The sequence below is a fragment of the Homo sapiens genome, chromosome 4 (genome assembly GCF_000001405.40).
Source record: "Homo sapiens chromosome 4, GRCh38.p14 Primary Assembly".
NCBI classification, from domain to species: domain Eukaryota; kingdom Metazoa; phylum Chordata; class Mammalia; order Primates; family Hominidae; genus Homo; species Homo sapiens.
In genome coordinates this window covers 183,308,907-183,329,678 of record NC_000004.12, presented here as the reverse complement: position 1 = coordinate 183,329,678, position 20,772 = coordinate 183,308,907, and the positions used below count along the sequence as shown (strand labels likewise).

Below are 20,772 nucleotides of genomic sequence, written 5' to 3'. Positions count from 1 at the left end.
GGGGCCTTATAAGAGGTGATTAGGTCAAAAGGGCTCTGTACTCAGGGAGGACTTAATGCTTTTGTCTTGGGAGTGAGTTATCTTGAGAGTGGGTGGTTATAAAAGCGAGTTTGGGTCCCTCTTGCCCGCTCACCCTCATCCTCTCTTGCCCTTCTGCCTTGAGCCATGGCACGACACAGCACAGAGGCCCTCACCAGATGCCAGTGCCATGGTCTTGGACTTCCCAGCCTCCAGAACTGTGAGCCAAATATGTTTCTTTTTCTTTCTTTTTTTTTCAGGTCAGATGGGTAATGTGCTGACATTGTAACAAGGTTTGAGGGTGGTACATCTCACATATGTGTGTGAGCACCCAATCATCATGCTCACGAACTACAGAAGGATCAAGCCAAATACATTTCCGATAAATTACCTAGTCTTAAGTATTCCGTTACAGTAGCACAGAACAGACTGAGACGCGTTATTCTGGCCTATGTCCCTTGGTTGTTGCATGACAGGATGTTCCCTTCACTACTGAGAGCCGATGTCTCCTTGTCTCCTGTTACTTCTTAGGCATTAGTACCTTGAAAGTTTGCCATAAAATCTCAGTTAGGGCCTCAGAAGACAGACACATGAGATAACTAGGCTTTAGAAACACTCCACCCCCACACACTCAGCTATGAAAACGGTTTGTTTCCTGCTGCTGGAAATCCACACATTCCTCCTTGCCAGTGTACACACAAGCAGAGATCAAGGGAATATTGACTAGGGTTCCCCTACTTCCTCTCTTAAATGCCACCACCCGAATCGGACTGAGGGCACCCCTGGAGTCACTCACAGCAGAGTAATTACGTGGAGGTGACATCCTGCTTATGTCTTCAGACCCCCACCCTCTGGACTGGGAGCTGCAGGGCAGCAGCAATGAGGCCTTCTGGAGGGGTCTGCACACACCCCTCTGGATCTGTCCTGGTGATGTCCTGCTGGGCTGAACCCCTCCCACCACCTGCTATCATTCCATTCACCCCCTGAATGTCCTGGGCAAAACGTGTCAGGCCACAGGGAGGAACTTTCTGCTGGTGGTTCCCTAAAGATCCTCTGATGTAGGAAGCCACTGCCTGCAAGTTTAAAGTCCCAGTTTTCAGATAAGTATGAGTTTATACTTGTTTATATATTTTTTCCTTAGAGTCTCTGGTTGGCTTTCTTTTTTTCCTCCAATGGGCAAGAACTTGGACTTTTTTTTTTCTCTTTTCTTTCCCCAAACCCTTTGATGAAAGCTTCAGGAGCATTCAACTAATAGATTGGCTGGTAATGATAAAATTAAATGATCAATTCAAGTAACCAGTAAGTGCTATAAATCCAAAAGCAGTATATATTTTTAATCACCAACATCCTAAATGTTTGTAGGCCAAGCTGGTGGTGTTTGGAGGACTGGAACAGAAAGACATAAGGGACCACTCTATATTGCAGACAAGTCACTTGAGCGAAATAGCAAAAATCAAGAGGTAGGCACCACAGGAGGGGGGTTGGTAAAATCCAGACCAGCCTGCCCTTCTGCCTCCTCCATGGCCTAAAGGCTGAGCATCCGCAGTGTGGCTGGGCTTGGCTGAGGATTCTGAGGGGTCTTAGACCTGTGCTCCGGGTAGTAAAGCCTGATAGCCCAGTTCTCAAACTCACAAGCCTCAGTGTGTGCGAGAAGAGCTGGAGGAGCTTGCTGACCTGCAGAGTCCTGCCCCCAGCTCCCGGGACCCTCCCCGGGATGTGCAATGTCTGTGCTTGTCATGGGGATGTGCAGGACCTGTCTCACACCGGCTCCAGAGAGCTGTCAATTTTTCAGGAATTCTGGGAGTGAGTTGGTAAACACAGCCATCACTGAAAATTGAATTATATAAACTTATGATATGACAAGCAAATGAACACTCCAAACATATCCCTTCCTCATTATTTTACTATTATCTATGTTCTTGAGGTTATCTATAGCTATTGTATCTAGATAGCCTCATGTAATATATTGACGTTTCAGTCAACGACAGACTGTGTATATGGCAGTGCATTAAGATTATAATACTGCACTTCCACTGCATCTTTTTTCTTTTCTTTTCTTTTCTTTTTTTTTTTTTTTTTTTTGAGACACAGTCTCACTCTGTTGCCCAGGCTGGAGTGTAGTGGTGCAATCTCAGCTCATTGCAACCTCTGCCTCCCAGGTTCAAGTGATTCTCCTGCCTCAGCCTTCCGAGTAGCTGAGATTACAGGCATGTGCCACCACACCTGGCTAAAATTTTTGTATTTTTAGTAGAGATGGGGTCTCACCATGTTGGCCAGGCTGATCTTGAACTCCTGACCTCAGGTGATCCGCCCACCTCAGCCTCCCAAAGTGCTGGGATTACAGGTGTGAGCCACCGCACCTGGCCTTCACTGCATCTTTTCTATGTTTAGATACGCAAATCCTTATTGTGTTAAGACTGCCTGCAGTCCTCAGTATAGTAACCTGCTGTATAGGTTTGCAGCCTAGGAGCAATAGGCCATACCATACAGCCTCGGGGTGGAGGAGGCTAGAGCATCTAGGTTTGTGTAAGCCCACTCTGTGATGTTTGCACAATGACAAAAATTGCCTAATGACTCATTTCTCAGCATGTGTCCTCATTGCCATAAATAGTCACCATTATATGACTGTATTATCTCTTCCTAACTCACTGCATACTCAGTGATTCCACATTGGTAGCCTGGAATTGGCCATGGTGAGAGTATTTACACCATGGAAATTGGCAGAGGTTGTAATCCAGGGCTACCAACCTGAGAGTTGCTGTTGAACATTTACCAGCACACTGCAGGCATGGGGGTGGGGAACCCGAACGTTGAGCTGGATAAGCTCCTCAGGTGGTTTCAGTGCAGAAGCTCTGCTTGGAACAACACTGTGCAGAATAGTCTCAGAGGTCTAGCCCCAGGTACTTCTGTGCTCTGAGTGTATTAGTCCATTTTCACACTGCTGATAAAGACATACCTGAGACTGAGCAATTTACAAAAGAAAGAGGTTTAATGGACTTACAGCTCCACGTGGCTGGGGAAGCCTCACAACCATGGCAGAAGGCAAGGTGAAGCAAGTCACATCTTACATGGATGGCAGCAGGCAAAGAGAGTGAGAGCTTGTGCAGGGAAACTCCCCCTTATAGAACCATAAGATCTCGTAAGATTTATTCACGACCATGAGAACAGCACGGGAAAGACCTGCCCCCATGATTCAATTACCTCCCACCAGGCCCCTCCCTCAACACGTGGGAATTCAAGATGAGATCCGGGTGGGGACACAGCCAAACCATATCACTGGGAAAGGAACTGAGGTGCTGCCTCCATGGCTCTGTAAATGACCCCATGACCTCGGGCAAGTTACTTGCCCATTGTGCTTAGCCCTATCGTCTGTAAAATAGTGATGTACCTAGTATCTACCCCCATTGTGTGATTGTGAGGGTTCAATGAGATAATCCATGTTAAAGTCTCAGAACAGTGCCCGGTATGTAGAAGGCTCTTGATAACTATTACCTATTATTATGATCTGACAAAAGAAAGTTAATTTTGTCCAGCAGATCATCTTTTTTTCTTTTATATCATTCTTTTTCTTATGATCGTCCTGCACAGTCTTTGTAGAAAATTTAGAAAATAAAAATCAAAACAAGGAAAAGAAAAAGCATCCATTTCTAGCACCCTGTGAATATTTTGGGGGGCCTTCAGCCTTCTAGTCTTTTTCCCGCACCTAAGAGATGTCATTCTTGATGCCCGTCTGGAAGGGGATGCTCTTGTTTGCTAACTCGTGAGGCTTCAGCAATATTTCCTCTCCCACTCTAGGTGGATGGTGAGTTCATTTCTTCTATTTAAGTTCATTATTCATGTTCAGACGCTCCAGGACAGCTGGTTTTGTCACCACGATGAAAGGGCACTGGCAATGGGAATGGCATCTATAGTGTTGGCATTCTATATTTACTTTCATTATCATTTAGAAGGATCCTTCTAATCAATTTAATAGACAAATATTTGCTGAACACATAGTAGATACAAGGTATTGTGCTGTGGGGGTTGTGAGGGTAACAGCGTGTCTTCTCCTTAATAACAAGCTTAATAGCATTAATAGTGTGAATTACTATTTAGAAGGATTAGAAATATTAACAAAATGGGAGGCTGAGACACAAGAATCACTTGAACCCAGCAGACGGAGGTGGCAGTGAGCTGAGATCTGCACTCCAGCCTGGGCAACAAGAGCAAAACTCTGTCTCCAAGAAAAAAAAAAAAAAGAAAGAAAAATCAAGAAAAAATAAACTATAGATTTTCTTTTAATCAGATAAAACTATGTTTAGCAAGAGGAACCCCTCATCTTCACCTATTTATCAAAGTGCCAGGGAGGCCCGCGCCTGCTAGGAGGAAGGGCGGCTCTTCCTGGCCTCCTCTCTGGATTCTGCTGCCTTCAGATTCAGCAGATAATCTTCCTGCAAGATCCCAAACTAAGCCTCCTTCTTCATTTTGTGCTCAACCTGTGGACCCAGAGTAACCTTGCTCATTGCCAGAGAAGACCCCAGCGAGCTGGGCCTGGGGAGAGATGTGTATTGATCTCCAATGCTTAAGGGATTTTTAAAGGGTAATTTTGACAATGGAGGATTTGGCTTCTCCACTGACTTCAGAATCCAAAGCTTTTACTGGACCTCTCTGGCCTCTGCTTTCGTCCTTCCTCAACCCTGTCTTGCAGGACCCAGGGTCCATGGCTCCTGTTGCCAGCTGATGAGGTGGGGGCTGCTTACAGCAGCAATCTGGCTACCATTTGGCTTGAGGTGGCCTTGTCTGTGTGGTTTTTGTACCCTATATGACGAAAGAGGCTGAGCTCCCTGCTGGCAGCCCGCCATGTGGGTGACCCATCTTGGAAAGGGACCCTCCAGCCCCCAGTTGAGCTGACGCTGCCTGGAGCAGAGACAAGTGGTCCCTGCTGAGTCCCAGGCTGCACATTCATGAGCAAAATACATAGAAATTGCCAGCTGGGTACGGTGGCTCATGCCTATAATCCCAGCACTTTGGGAGGCCGAGGCAGCCGGATCACCTGAGGTCAGGGGTTCAGGGACTCCTGTTCAGCACCCAGTGCCTGCTCAGCAGGAGGGGCTCACAACTTTTTTTTTTTTTTTTTTCAGACAGAGTCTCGTTCTGTCGCCCAGGCTGGAGTGCAGTGGCGCATCTTGGCTCACTGCAACCTCTGCCTCCCCGGTTCAGGCGATTCTCCTGCCTCAGCCTCCTGAGTAGCTGGGATTACAGGCGCCCGCCACCATGCCTGGCTAATTTTTGTATTTTTAGTAGAAACGGGGTTTCACCATGTTGGTCAGGCTGGTCTCAAACTCCTGACCTTGTGATCCGCCTGCCTCGACCTCCAAAAGTCTTGGGGTTACAGGCATGAGCCACCGCGCCCAGCCCACAACATATTTTTTTAATGCTGACAGAATAAATGAATTGGGAAGGTGCTCAGAGGTTATGCAGGTCCAACACCCACCACAGCAGAAATCCCCTCCGTGATAACCTTGGCAGGTGATAACCTTTGGCTTAGATGCCTGCAGCAGGGAGAGCTCACTACGTCACGGAGCAGCCTATTCCATTAGGTTTTTAAAAAGCGTTTCACTGTGATATTAAGAATCATCTCCCTATGATCTTTCCCACTTGCTCTCCAGGCCTTCACCACCCCGACTGCCTCCTGGAAGAGAGCTCAAGCTTGCCATATCCTGTGCACTGGTGATGAGGCCCCAGACAGGTCTCCGGCCCTCTGGATCCAGGTACCTTTAAGCACCCTGGAATGACTTATTTCAGGATGGTGGGGGCACCAATACATCCTCAGGAATTCTGAAAATTTGTAAAAATTAAGGAAGAGTTCATCTGGTGCATAGTTTTTTCTTTTTAAACTTAAGATGATAGGAAAAGCTGAAGAAAGTACCACCTCAAATCTACATCTTATGCAATCTTATCCAAAGTAATTTGGATACATCGGGATCCATGTTCTGTCTCTCCGATCTCCTATTTAGAGACACAATAGAAGATAATTTCTGATCCTGGGCTACACTCCACTGTTGCAACGTGATGGGCAGTGGTTCTACTTCTCCAGGTTAGAACCTCTCAGGGGAGTGGCTCCACCTTTAGGGACTTTTCTGTCCTGTGGGCCCATCTGATTTTATCTCCTCTGAGCAGGTGCAGGATGCCCAGGGGCCATGTGGAGAGGAGACGGTGCAGCCCTGGGAATCTGGGGCAGGTGACCTCTTGTCCTGGCCTGTGAGGCCGGTCCTGTGTTCTCTGAGGGGTCAACCCTCTGCGTAAGTATGCTCTCAAGGTGTGGCCTCAACCAAAAAAATAAACAAGATGAAGCCTCGAAGTTCAGCTCCATTGTGGCTATTGTGTTTGTACCAGAGACTTTTGTCTGGGAGCTGGCAGGAGTCTTGAAGCCTGGTGTTGCTCTGCGTAAGCTGCTGAAATGACAAGGGGACAGCTCAGCTCTGGACAAAAAACACCTCCCTGGACGCTAAGATATCATGCTTTACCCCCAAGTCCTTAACGAGGATGGAGAAAACCACAGAGTGAATGCTGGAACTGCCCGGGACGTTCCCTTCCGCACTCAGTAGCCCCCAGCATCAGCCTCAGTCCTTTTCATTTTAATCAGTCCCGTAAGCCAGCCTCTACCTTTCAAAGGAATCCGAGGAACCTTCCTGCCAACTCTGAGCTCCTGCGACACTCGAGGATGTGGGCCAGGCTCTTGTGTAGGTTAAGGAAGTCTGAGAAGAATAGAGATTATAGGAAACAGTCTACCTTTCTTTACAAGACCTTGTTTTGCATCCCTGAAATTTCAGATTCAGCTCTTACAATGAAGTCCTGTTGTAGAAAGAGCTGGCCTTTTATCACCACTTAAAATCTAATTAATCCATACTGAAGCACAAAGATTTCTGTTGTATTTTAGGGTGAGGGGTCATAGAGCCCTCTTTGTTCATCCTTAGACTTATAATCATCAAGCATTGGGGATATAATTTTACCAAATTGGAAGGTAACAGATCAAGTCCTTATCAGAAAGCCCAACTCATAGTTTTAACAGAGTCCTTCGTCCTTTACGTGAAACATTATATTCAAGAAGAACAAAAACGCATTTCAGAGTGCCCAAAGAGTTAATGACCACAGCTTATATTCCAGGCAGCATAGAACCAAGATTGTCACATTACCGTCAACCACAAAGGACAGCAGATCCTATAGGGGTGGCAAAGTCCTAAGACCTGTCGCAATGGCTTTAATCTTTAGAACAGCAATGCAATCTGTTGGACTTTTACTATCTCTCCTGGGATGGATTTTATCCATTATTACAACTTATTTGCCACACTGGAAGAACCTCAACCTGGACTTAAATGAAATGGAAAACTGGACCATGGGACTCTGGCAAACCTGTGTCATCCAAGAGGAAGTGGGGATGCAATGCAAGGACTTTGACTCCTTCCTGGCTTTGCCTGCTGAACTCAGGGTCTCCAGGATCTTAATGTTTCTGTCAAATGGGCTGGGATTTCTGGGCCTGCTGGTCTCTGGGTTTGGCCTGGACTGTTTGAGAATTGGAGAGAGTCAGAGAGATCTCAAGAGGCGACTGCTCATTCTGGGAGGAATTCTGTCCTGGGCCTCGGGAATCACAGCCCTGGTTCCCGTCTCTTGGGTTGCCCACAAGACGGTTCAGGAGTTCTGGGATGAGAACGTCCCAGACTTTGTCCCCAGGTGGGAGTTTGGGGAGGCCCTGTTTCTGGGCTGGTTTGCTGGACTTTCTCTTCTGCTAGGAGGGTGTCTGCTCAACTGCGCAGCCTGCTCCAGCCACGCTCCCCTAGCTTTGGGCCACTATGCAGTGGCGCAAATGCAAACTCAGTGTCCCTACCTGGAAGATGGGACAGCAGATCCTCAAGTGTAAGACTCCGACAAGGCCAGAGATGTATCCTGTATCAACTGTGATGACAAAGACCTCTTTGTTTTGTAGCTAAACCTGTGATGCTCACGTTTTCTCATTCACTATTTTTCTACAGTAGGTAGACCCACTTCCCTCTAAAATCTGAATAATGAAGGAAAAATCTTTTATCTAAAAGAAAATGATTATGGTAAGCATTATACAGGTAGAAGTGAAACAAGCTTCATTGATCTGGTTATTGAAATTAATGTGGTGGCTGTCCAATACAGTCAGTTTCAAGCTTTAATGTGTAAATTTCATATTAGAAAGCTTTTTTCTGTTTTTCTTTTTTTTGTTGTTGCTGTTGGTAGTCAGAAATGATCTTTAGTTTCTGTTTCCTAAAGAAAAAAACTAACAATCTGAAAATTTTAAGTGTTCTACTTTAGCAAAACCACATGCTAAGCCAACCTCAAAGTGTTATTTCCACAACAATGACCTTTTTCTTCTTTGAACAGAAGTGGTTTGTTTTTAGGATATTACCAGGCACTCAGTGCGGCAAGATTTTATGAGGCTGAAGAGTTTTCAGTACCTTGTGATCCTCTCAGATTTAAAATGGTGGCCAATCTCTTCTCTCATCCTTTCCCTCAAAACCTTCGTATTAAAAAAAGAAAAACAATTCCAAAGACATTTTTCTTGATATCCTGATATTGTCAGGTCATTTGAATAAAACCTTTCCTTTGTTCAATGAAAAATCGCTAACATGGGGATATCTACTTTAGTGGTGAATAAACAGAAATGCTGACTCCAACCTGCAGAGTCCAAATGCTGAACTTTCCTCGGCACAGAAAGCATATATAAGAAAAAAAAGTGTTTATGCACACAAGCGTGAATTTGACAGAAAGGCATGCAGATAAATAAACTAGATCTGTAGTTCAGTATTGCTTCATATGCCATGTGGTATATGTAGCCTGAGGAATTTCTGAAACGCAGGAGTGAGTTAAGGTGTAGAGAGATTTCTGATAAGATTGATTTATTTGGTTAAGAAATACTTTTCTTAAACCTATTTTTAAAAAATAACACTCAGTATTACCATAACATGCACATTTGAAATGTGAGAACTATAAGAGATGAAAATCTGACAGGTGCAGTTAGTGAAACACAAAGCAGGAGGAGTTGAACCAAAACCATCAGTTAAACATTTTGCATTTAGACTTAATTCTTTGTTAGAAAGGTTGGGAATAACATGAAAGCCATTTTAACCTTGACAATGAAAGGAGATTATCACTTAATTATATTTCAGTGACAAACTGCTTTCTGTCAAATCCAGCCCACAGGACACAAACACAATCTTGGCCACACCTTGGCATTACTGGTTGGCGGCATTATTTCCCTATCCTTTTGTGAAACCCATTCAACATGGAATCAAACAATAGCAACTCTGGCAAGAATCCTCCTATATACACAATGAAGAAATATTTCTGAGTTTCATAAGTTATAACACAAGTGTCACACTTCTTTTCACAGCAACCGAAGGGCAGGAGTTAGTTTGGCTAAAGCTCTCAGGACATTATAATGGCTTTAGTATTTAGAACTGTAGCTCAACTAGCTGGAGTTTCATTATCTTTGCTGGGATGGGTTTTATCCTGTCTTACAAACTACCTGCCACACTGGAAGAACCTCAACCTGGACTTAAATGAAATGGAAAACTGGACCATGGGACTCTGGCAAACCTGTGTCATCCAAGAGGAAGTGGGGATGCAATGCAAGGACTTTGACTCCTTCCTGGCTTTGCCTGCTGAACTCAGGGTCTCCAGGATCTTAATGTTTCTGTCAAATGGGCTGGGATTTCTGGGCCTGCTGGTCTCTGGGTTTGGCCTGGACTGTTTGAGAATTGGAGAGAGTCAGAGAGATCTCAAGAGGCGACTGCTGATCCTGGGAGGAATTCTGTCCTGGGCCTCGGGAGTCACAGCCCTGGTTCCCGTCTCTTGGGTTGCCCACAAGACGGTTCAGGAGTTCTGGGATGAGAACGTCCCAGACTTTGTCCCCAGGTGGGAGTTTGGGGAGGCCCTGTTTCTGGGCTGGTTTGCTGGACTTTCTCTTCTGCTAGGAGGGTGTCTGCTCCACTGTGCAGCCTGCTCCAGCCACGCTCCCCTAGCTTCGGGCCACTACGCAGTGGCACAAACACAAGATCATCATCAAGAACTGGAGACGAGAAACACCAACCTGAAACACTAAGCCAGAAAGGACAAGCGTCTGCTGTTCAGGAGACGCTTGCTCAACACTGGATTTGGTAGGATGTCCCGCTCTAGTCATCTCACTGTGCTTTTGATTTTTGAAAATGCATCTTTTCCTGTGGCTATTAAACTATAGTTTCTTTCCAAGACTGGTAAACCATTTTTATCTTCTAGTCTGAGACCAAAATCAATCAAGACTGAATAGTAATGACACCCATTACTGTGGATGAGTTTTCTCAATTTTAAAATAGCGATTGCACAGAAGTGGTAAATAAAACATTAATCTCTATGTATCTTTGAAGGTATTATTCATATGGAGCGGAATCATTTGGCAAATCATTTACTTATTTCAGGTGTTTAAGATAACCTAGTATAATAAGCCTGAGGTCTTGTTGCATATTTATTTAAAATGCATGACGTCTTATTATATAAAATAATTACTAGCTCTTTAGAAGCTTCAGAGGTGAAAGGTGTAGACACATCATCTCCTTCTGAATCAGAGACCTCAGTGTCTCTATGGAACCTTTTTCAAAAGGCAGCCACATTCAGTCACGCCTTCTATACTGTCAGAGGCAGGAGGGCGATCTTGGGTTTTGGATGATTCAAGTAGACTCTGCCACACAAACGTGCTTCTGCATCCTGTGTTCTGTATTTCACGGGCAGCGTTTCTGGCTTCCCAGGCACTGAGCAGCCTGTGGGGGGCACGGCAGGGCAGGACTGGGGTGTGTGGGTAGATAACCTCCTGGGACGGCTGCCTCTCTGTGGAGCACACTGCCAGCCCAGGCGCAGCGACCACAGAGCACATATTCTGGAGCCCTTCATTTTATTTGCTCAATGAAAATACTTCGTCCTTTTTTATCAGCAATACATATAGTTCCAACAAGAACTATTCATCACAAACTGCCAGCCTGGGGATTTCTTCATGAAATATTTTGTATTTGCTTGGTACATGGTTCAAGGAAACTCTTGTGTTTGTGCCAATCAGGGAAATAAACTGAACAATAAACGACACTGAAATAGAGTATTAGGCAATATGTAGCTTTGTTTTTGCTTTTTTTTTTAAAAAAAACCACTGAATTTTTTTCCACCCACAAACACATGGAAAGTGCAGAAACCAGTTAATCTATGTGATGTATTTGCATACGTTTACAAACAAGACAAATTAAAACAGAAACATGTTCAGAATTTAACCTGATTAAATATTAAGTTCAGTCCTGAGCTTTTGATATTTAAGACAATATAGATAAAGCAATAGCAAAAAATTTTAATTTATTTGATTTGCATGCTACAGAGATTTAGCTAAACTTTGTTCATTTGGCTAGCAATATTCTTTTTGTACCTGTAACACTTAAGATTCTGATATACAAAATTGTAATAATATACTGATAATTCAAACTTGAGAACTAAATATTACATTCTTTTTACCCTGTGCGAATAAATTCTACCTTTTAAAAATAGTATTTATAATATTAAAATTCATATTTGTCCATATGGTTTTGTGATCAAGTTATTAAAATGTTTTGTCACTGTGAATCATTTGGGTTAGTACAAATATGACAAGATTATTAAAAGCTGCCTATAAATACATAACACTATTGCTGACTTTTAAAGTGTAGAAAAAGGATTATATTAAAATAAGTTCATCTCTCATGTTAGAAATGAGGAAATTTTGTGAAATACAACAACCAAAAGCATCTTGGTCACAACTGCTAACTACCAGCCTGAGACAGATTTTATTCTTTAATACTTGTCTGAAACTTTTTGTATTACAAAAAGTCAACAGCTAATCTGATGAAAGACTTATAAAGCTGTAAATATTCCAATATAGTCTCTTCTGTGTCAAATATTTAAAATGGCCAGAATCAAACTATATATTAAACAGAACATAAATAAGACTGTAAATAAATAAATGAAGAAAATAAAATCGTACGGAACAACTACACATAATTCTATAGACATTTTCATGGTCAAACTAAGATGCTGAAAACAGCTCACCTTCATTTACCTCTACATTAAATAAACTTCTGTCTTTCACATTTGACCTTGACAAGGGTGAACTGTATTCTTTTTCTAGTTTTCCTTAGTCATCTAATAGAATGAACTGGGCAGCCTTAAAGGACTGTACTCAGTCAATTCACTAGGCTGGTTTTTGTTCAAAGCAGTGTCTGCCATGTCCAGTTATGTCTTCAAAGAAATTTGTATGTAAGTGTTGGGACATTTAGGAAAAAGTAATTAAAGTTCTAGGCTCAGAAGTTGCTTAATTTGAACTTCAATTCCAATAACATGAACTTTCCAAAATATATATAATTGCTTTCAAGAAAATAAAAATTCTTGCTAGTGAGCTAGTGAGCATTCTAACTGAGGAACAAAACTTTTTTTTTTTTTCTTCAAGGGGTCCATTCCTTTAAGACAATTTTGGATTTCTTTAAAAAATCTATTTTATTTGCTATATTAGATGGCTAACCCAAAATTGTTTCTTGGGTTATTGAGTAATAAGTATGGTTTAAATGGCCTAAATACTACATATTTTAAAAGCCTTGATGCTGGCAGAGCTGCACTGAGGATCTGTGTTTTTAAGAAGTGCCTGGGTCGGGTAAGGTGAAATTCTAAACTGGAGGACACATTAGTCAGTTTATCTCTCTAAACTTGTTCATCCAAAATAGGCTTTTTAATAAACAATTTAGCTTATACTTCAAATTAATAATCCCCCCACACACATTCTTCCCTTTGCCTCCCAACTATTTACCATAAATTATAGATAGAACCCCCTAAAAATGAGAGCTATGAAGTAGTTTCTACTAAATGTTAGAAATCTGCTTGATAAACTCTTCTTTGTTTTTGGCAACTTTGATTCTATCAAGACATCTTTCCCCCTCTTCTTGGTTACACCAAATGAGTGCCGATGCATTTCCCTCCACCCCTCCAGCTCTCTCTGTCCTCAGAACACAGGGCCACCACTAGGCACCATCCTTAGATTTAGGGCAAAACACTAGTGCAAGCCAGAAACTCACTTTTGAACACTTAATGCAAATTCAGGCTGAGTGAGACAAACCAGCTGCTCATTTGATGAGCTTATTTGTATCTCTGCGTGGCTGGTGTTCTTTCTTCTCCCTGCCCTCAGTGTCATGAATCCCAAGATCTTTCGTGTAGCCAAGAGTAGTGCTCCTTTGTATTCTTATTCTTATTTTTATTCTTAAGAGCACTTGGTAGTTTATATCTTAGTTTTCTTTAGAAAAATATAAAAGGACAAAAAGGAAATTGTCTTAAGGAAACCAGGTGTTCCCGCACAGGTGATGGCCGTGGACGCAGCATCCATTTCGGGCGGACTTTGGAACGCTGCACTCCAGCGTGTGCTCACACTGCCTCCAAATGGAAAGCGCTCCTCTCCTCGCCAGCGCACAGATACCACGTGGCGCTGCTGCCATCGGCACAGCCTACTCACAGGAACACAAAGGAGAAGCAAAACCACCGGCTGAACCAAGTTGTTTCTCAACAGCCGGCTCAACAGTACACATGTGGGGTACTGCCTCTATTCCATTTTTACAAAATGAAGTCCACTGGCAATGCGCACATACTGGGCAACATTTGTGTACCAGGTTATCCCATCTTTCTTATATGATTTTTTCTTTTTTAAGCATATAAAAATTACACTCAAGGTACTTTACAAATTAATGTGTTGAAAATCTGATGTGAAATAAAAGTTCTTCAAGAGTTGACAGTTACGTTACCAAAAAAAACCAAACACCAAAACAAAAACACAAATCTTCAGTCTTTTACCCTCCCTAAGAAAGTGAACAGATGAAAAAATAATTTCTTAAGTCATGTAATCACACATCATCAGCTGGCAGGGATGGGATGCTTATCTTTGCTCTGGTGAAGTAGGCAATCTTCTCCCTAGAGTTGGGGTGAGAAATAAATTGACTTATATATGATGCTAAAAATACTCTGGGACCATTAAAACAGTCCCCAAGACCTGCAGTGGCAGTGATGTCTCTGCAAGCACAGGTAGAAGCTCTTTTCCTTACGCAGAACTCCATTTAAAATCAGGAGAGCCTCTGCCTGCTTAAAGGGGGGGTATCAAGGAGAACAGCAGCTCTGGATCACGGAAGTCACCTACAGACCAAGCCCGTAAGTTCCCTTCAGGGAACTTCCAACAGAAGACAGTTTTTAAACTAGTAGGGGTTTGGTCTAGGATGGGTGTTTCCGAACTAGGTAGCAGAAGACTCAAAAGGCCCAAAATCCTACCTGGAAACTTCTCAGTAACCTCACAGAAAAGCACACAATAACAGGAAAAGTCTTTACATCGATACCATGCCGGGGCAGGGACAACCTGATGAGCGACACCACGACGCAAATGAAAGGAGAAGGAGGAACTATCTGCAAGGTAGTAACTGCCCTGGTCCCGAAGCAGCGGAGAGGCTGAGACAGGGCAGAGCGGTTTTCAGGTGAGGAGAGTGCTTAAAAAAAAGACAAACAGTGCGTCTATTTCCCTACAGAACTTCACACTGTACATGGCATTTATGCCGTCAGCACGTATTTCTTGAGGGCATATTACATGCAAGGGGCATGCTGGTAGCTGAAGAATCAAGCACTGGTTCTCCCTTGCGAAAGAACAGTCCAGATGGGGGAGGAGGTGCGGGTTAGAAACCAGAGCTGAGGTGGGGATGTTCTGAAGACTAAGAAAGGATAGAGAAGAAAAGGAGGAGTGAGAACACTATGGACACTGGAACGAGCTACTGCTGTGAACAGTGTCCTTTAAATTTGTTCAATTCATAAGAGGAAAACAAGAACAAAAAATGCCACGAGTGTAGGTGTGATGTCAGCGGAGGCCTTAAGGCGCAGCTGCTAACTGGGGTGTTTAAAAATACCTGAAGTAGTTGCCGGCACCTGCATTTGAGATATTTCACAGAAAACTGTTGATTTCTAACTTCTCTTGAAAAATTAGAAGGCCAGGGACCATCGGGCTCCTGATTCCAGGTGAAACAAGCAGCTGGGGTGGTGCCGGGCAGAACGGCCCAGGCCCCACCGCTGCCTGATCTCACCACCCCAGGCCAGGCAACGGTAGCCGTGCAAATCCCACGCTTCCAGCATGTTCTGTCTCACCCTGGTCCATCTCATCATTCTCGTCACTTCCCTGGTGATATAATATGCTTCGTATCTTAAGGGAAGCTGGGAATGTTCGTGGATTCTTTGCTTCAGGTTTCGGCAACAACTGCGAGTTGTGTGACTTTCCACGCTAGACAATGCTGCTTATTCTCTAAGTGACCACAGCACCAGGGACATGGATGGGCTCCCCTCACCTGCAGTTCTAAAACCCAAGTAGTGGTAGTCCCTGAAAGTCACAAATGTGATTCTTTAGCAGAAAAGAGGGTGGAAAAACCTCTCTACTGCAGGGTGTTGCAGAAAAATGAAAGAGCTGTGAGCCCACTAAGGCACACTGCTGCTGCCACACGGTCCGTGGCCCTGCCCTCCCGCTTGGTACCAGACCTCAGCCTGCCATAGCTGTCCCTGCTCCACCACGTGACCTAGCTTCCCCACACTTCAAAAACACTCGCTTCTTCTGGGCTTCTCCCCTTTATGCCTAAACACTTTCCAAAGACTCGTCTATACAAAACCTCAACCAAAACCAAATAAAAACGCAATAGGAACAAACCTTTTTGCTGAGCTCCCTCCGTCGGGGCTGAAACCATCTAGTGTGCTCACCAGGGATCCCGGATGTACTTTTCAGTTCTCTCCATCAATCTCCTCTTCCCACCCTCTTGCCCCAGGCTCCTGGTTCTCCTCTGACCTCTCCAGCCATTCTTTCTAGCATCTCTTTTGGGGCGAGCCCTTCAGTGATTGGTGCCCACCAGCCTCCTTTCCCAGTCACCTCACATTTTCTGGGATGTCTGGCCCATTTCCACAGATGAGACCAATGCATTGAAGATGAGCACTCCCATTTTTTAATCTCCATCCTGACCCCTAACCCTGGCTTTAGATTTTTATTTCCACTTGTCTACTGGTCATGGTTATCTCACTAGCCTGCTGGCATTGCCTGGTGTGCCATGGCAGAGGTCAGCATCCTCCCCACACCCCTGCTCCCCAGCATTCTCCATCTCGAGCGCTGGCACCACAGGGCAGCCACTGCCCCCCACAAACCTCCCATGAACCTAACTGGCCACCCTTACCCGCTTCTCCCCAGCCCACTCTCCACAATGCCTCTGATATCTGCCCTACATAAAACCCATCCCCATCATTTGGTTTTGTGCACGGAGAGCCCTGCTGGCCGCCCGTCAGAGACCACGGGTGGAAGCCTTCTGCACAGCTTCCAAGGCCTGTGCAACTTGAGCCCAGTTCTCCTGGGCAGGCTCACCAGCTGGCAACTCCCCATGCGCCAGAGCTTGGCACTGACTTCTAAGGTCTGTGCCTCTGTCCATGCTGTTCTTCCCGCCTCAATGTCCCACTCAAAACTGCCACCCCTAGGTGCCTAAGGAGCTTGCAGCCATCCTTCCATGATGGGTTCTCTTATAATCTCCTCTGCTGGTGCCCGCAGCCCCAGCACCTGCCCCATACTGACTGAGGCTCCTCCCACATCTCTCACAGGTCCCTACCTATCCCTTTAGTTAGCTCCTTCCACATGCACTGCAATGACCTGGTTACCCGCCTATCCCTGCCACAGCCTAGAGCCCCCCAGAAGAGCAGAACGAATGCACATGTTCTTAGCCTCCACATCTCAGAGCCTGACAAGGTGTAAGGTTTCTGGGGCTGCCCAAGGAATGTCTGTAAAATGAGCGAACAAAATCCCAAAGATGTCTGAGTTTTCTGTACCTTTGTATCCTGTGTCAAGATAGCCCAGTGAGATGTGCTAACAGCTACTAAGAGCTGGGGACACCCTGGGTTCTTGTGGGGAGTTAGGCTTTCATCAGCCTTTAACTCTGCCAGTCACATTTATCACCTCAGGTGCAAATGGAAAATTATATATTCAAGGTAGAGAACAGAGGACTTCTGTCTCGGATCCTCATATTAACTTTCACTGCACTGAGGTGAATTCCTACACAATCAGACCCCGTGAGGGCAACCCAAAAGCTGTCCTGGATGGGGCTATTCACCTGAAGGACTGCACCTGCCGAGGCACCTTCTGGCTCTGCTCCCGGAGCCGACACACGTCCTTGGAGACTTGCCTCATCAACTTCTCTGCATTCAGACCTTGCTTCTGCTCTTCTTTGGACTGTTCAGCCTGGAAAAGGGAATAAAAATGTAAGAAACACACAAAACACTGATTAGAAATCCCTGGAGACATCCTATGAAGCTTCAAAGATTGTGGACTAAAGTCAGGAGGGCAAGCAAGGCAGCCAGTGGGCTGGTGTCCTTTTTATCACCCATCAGGAGCCAACACCCACATGACCAACTCATGCTGTGCATATGTTGATTTTGGGGTAAGTTCATTTTAATCACATTTTAGAAATCTAATTACACAGGCAATATGTGACAATTTTACTACATCTGAAAACCTAAGAACTCTCAAAAATGAAACGGAAAATTACTCATAGCACTGTTTCCAAAAAATATCTACAGTTAAAGAATGTTTTGGGCAAATACACTTTCAACATCTTATTTATCTTTTTGACCCTTTTTATCTAACTTAGTCATTTAAAAAGCTGTTTATTTAACGTAGAATTTACCAATCAAAAAACCTGCACATGCCGGGTGCGGTGGCTCACTCCTGTAATCCCAGCACTTTGGGAGGCCGAGGCAGGCGGATCACGAGGTCAGGAGATCGAGACCATCCTGGCTAACACGGTGAAACCCCGTCTCTACTAAAAATATAAAAAAATTAGCCGGGTGTGGTGGTGGGCACCTGTAGTCCCAGCTACTCAGGAAGCTGAGGCAGAATGGCTTGAACCTGGGAGGTGGAGCTTGCAGTGAGCCGAGATCGCGCCACTGAACACCAGCCTGGGCGACAGAGTGAGACTCCGTCTCAAAAAAAAAAAAAAAAAAACCTGCACACATACGTGTATAGCTCAAAAAACTTTTACAAATTGAACACACCCATGTAACCAGCACCGGAGGAAGGGGAGAACACTCCTGCCCTTCCCGCTCTGCCCCGAGGGTTCCCAGCATTCTGACTTCTAATGTGCCTCTTTTGTCCTTGGTATAGATGGAACAGTAAACAGAGACTCTTTAGGGTGTGGCTTCTTTTGCTCAACATTATGCTCACGAGAATCATACACGCTGTTATATGTAGTTGTAACTCACTTTCCTCACTGCTATATAGTATTCCACTGTATGACTTTACTACAATTTATCATCTGTTAGTAATAATGAACATTTGGGTACTGTGCATGGACACATTTTAAAATAAAAATGTACTAATGATACTATATTAAAAGTTGTCTTTTCATTTCATTATTTCACTCATATTCATTCACCCAATCAATAAATATTTGTGGACTGTCTTTTAAGGAAAGGTGGTATAAGTTGGTGAAGAGCAAACATTCAGGTCATACAACCTGGGGTCAAATTCCATTTCTACCACTTACTAGCGATGTAAATCTGGGCAAGTTGCTTGACCTTCTGGTGTCTTAGTTTCTCCATTTGTACACTGGGAATAAGTACTTATTTCAAAGTTGTGAAGTTTAAATGAGTACATATATATGTAAAGTACTCAGAGCAGTACCCAACACATCACTGAATATACTATTTCAGAATGAAGCTATTACTGTTGCTTTTTTTTTTTTTTTTTTTACAATATGCCAGGCTCTGTACTAGGAGGCAGGGTTATAGTTGTGAACAAAACAGATGAAGTCCAGGCTGGGAGGCCAAGGTGGGAAGATTGCTCAAGGCCAGGAGTTTGAGACCAGCCTGGACAACATAGAGAGACACTCTCTCTATGAAAAAAAAAAAAAAAAATTAGCTAGGTGTGGTGGCATGTGCCTGTGGTCCCAACTACTCAGGAGGCTGAGGTGAAAGGATCACTTGAGCCTGGGAGTTTAAGGCTGCAGTGAGCTATGATCACCGCTGCACTACAGCCTTCGTGACAGAGCAAGACCCTGTTTCAAAAACCAAAACAAACAAACAGGTGAAGACCAGTGGCAGAGAAAAACAACAGCAAAGAACAGAAATTGTTTAATAATTATTAAAAATTAACAATATATTGTTTTTTTCTCAGGTTAAACCTTCGTCACATAACACTGAAAAACACAGTCTATTTATTAGAGCAGTTTTAGGTTCATAGCAAAATGGGGTGGAAAGTAGAGTTCTCATTGACTCCCTGCCCCGACTCATGTATAAACTCTCCCACTATCAGCATCCTCCACCAGAGTGTACGTTTGTTACAATCAGTGAACTTATATTGACACTTCATTATCACCCCAAATCCACAGTTTATATCAAGCTTCACTCTTGGTGTACATTCAATGGGTTTTGGCAAAAGTATAATGACATGTACCCACCATTACAATATCATACAGAGGAGTTTCACTGCTTTAAAATTCCCCTGTGCTCTGCCTATTCCTCCCTCTCTTCCCCCTAACCACTGATCTCTTCACTGGCTCTGCAGTTTTCTTTTTCCCAGAATGCCATACAGTTGGATGATGCAGTACACTGCCTGTTTAGAACGGCATCTTTCACTTGGTGTATGCATTTAAGTTTCCTCCATGTCTTTTCATGGCTTGACAGATAGCTCATTTCTCTTTAGTGCTGAAGAGTATTCCATTGTCTGGATATACCAGTTTACTTAACCATTCACCTACTGAAGGACATCTTGACTGCTTTCAAGTTTTGGCTATTATGAATAAGGCTGCTGTAAATATTCATGCAAAGGTTTTCATGTGTACGTAAATTTTCAACTCATACCAAGGAGCACAACTGCTGAATTGTATGTAAGAATCTGCTTAATTTTATCAGAAATCTACAACTGTCTTCTAAAGTGCCTGTATGATTTTGCATTTCTATCAGCAATGGCTGAGAGTTCCTGTTGCTCCACATCCTTGTCAGGATTTGGTGTTGTCTGTGTTTTGCATCTTGGCCGCTCTAACAGGTGTGTAGAGGTATCTCATTGTTGCTTTAATCTGCAATTTCTTATTGACATACGATGTTAAATATCTTTTCATGTGTTTATTTGTCATCTGCTTTGGTTAGGTGTCTGTTCAGGTCTTTTGCCGATTTTTAAACTGGGTGTTTGTTTTGTATTGTTGAGTTTTAAGAGTTTTTTGTAACTTAGATAACAGTCCTTTATCAGACATAACTTTTACAAATATTTCTCCCAACGTGTGGCTTGTTTCCTCTTTTTCTTGACAGTGTCTTTCACAGAGAAGTTTTAAATTATAACGAAGTCCAGCTTATCAGGTATTTCTTTCATGGATCATGCCTCTGATGTTGTGTTGTATATGAAAAGTCACTGCCATACCCAAGGTCATCTAGATTTTCTCCTAGGGTAACTTCTAGGAGTTTTATAGTTTACATTCTACATTTAGGTCTGTGATCATTTTGAGTTAATTTTTGTGAAGGGTGCAGAAGGGTCTATATCCAGATTCATGTTTTTTTGCATGTGAATAAATGTCCAGTTCTTCCAGCATCATTTGTTGAAAAGATGATCTTTTTTTGATTTATTTTCTTTGCTCCTCTGTCAAAGGTCAGTTGAATATAGTCAGCCCTCTGTATCTGTGGGAT

The 20,772-nt window shown here is 43.7% G+C and overlaps 3 protein-coding genes and 1 non-coding gene across 7 annotated transcripts in view; 2 read left to right on the top strand and 2 right to left on the bottom strand.

The window, feature by feature from the left end:
• Window positions 1-277: 277 nt before the first annotated feature.
• Window positions 278-381, bottom strand: LOC124900894 (small nucleolar RNA U13). The gene has a single exon (XR_007058536.1). It is a non-coding gene; the product is annotated as a small nucleolar RNA U13 (small nucleolar RNA).
• Window positions 7,253-7,915, top strand: CLDN24 (claudin 24). Its single transcript, NM_001185149.1, has one exon. It carries the CDS (start codon window positions 7,253-7,255, stop codon window positions 7,913-7,915), a length of 663 nt encoding a protein of 220 aa, NP_001172078.1.
• WWC2 (WW and C2 domain containing 2) overlaps window positions 8,902-20,772 on the bottom strand; it is a 221,521-nt gene continuing 209,650 nt past the window's right edge. For all 4 annotated transcript variants that reach the window (NM_001410864.1, NM_024949.6, XM_024454225.2 and 1 more), the window contains 2 exons: window positions 17,211-17,338; window positions 8,902-14,016 (listed from right to left, as the gene is read on the bottom strand). In NM_001410864.1, the coding sequence (NP_001397793.1) occupies window positions 13,950-14,016; window positions 17,211-17,338 (195 nt within the window). In that variant the 3' untranslated portion in view covers window positions 8,902-13,949. The remainder of the gene's footprint in view (window positions 14,017-17,210; window positions 17,339-20,772) is intronic.
• CLDN22 (claudin 22) lies at window positions 9,403-11,579 on the top strand. The gene has a single exon (NM_001111319.3). It carries the CDS (start codon window positions 9,461-9,463, stop codon window positions 10,121-10,123), a length of 663 nt encoding a protein of 220 aa, NP_001104789.1. The 5' UTR covers window positions 9,403-9,460; the 3' UTR covers window positions 10,124-11,579.

Bases quoted from the DNA above. Each gene is read 5' to 3' on its own strand.
- CLDN24 (NM_001185149.1), top strand. From the start codon at position 7,253: ATGGCTTTAATCTTTAGAACAGCAATGCAATCTGTTGGACTTTTACTA.
- CLDN22 (NM_001111319.3), top strand. From the start codon at position 9,461: ATGGCTTTAGTATTTAGAACTGTAGCTCAACTAGCTGGAGTTTCATTA.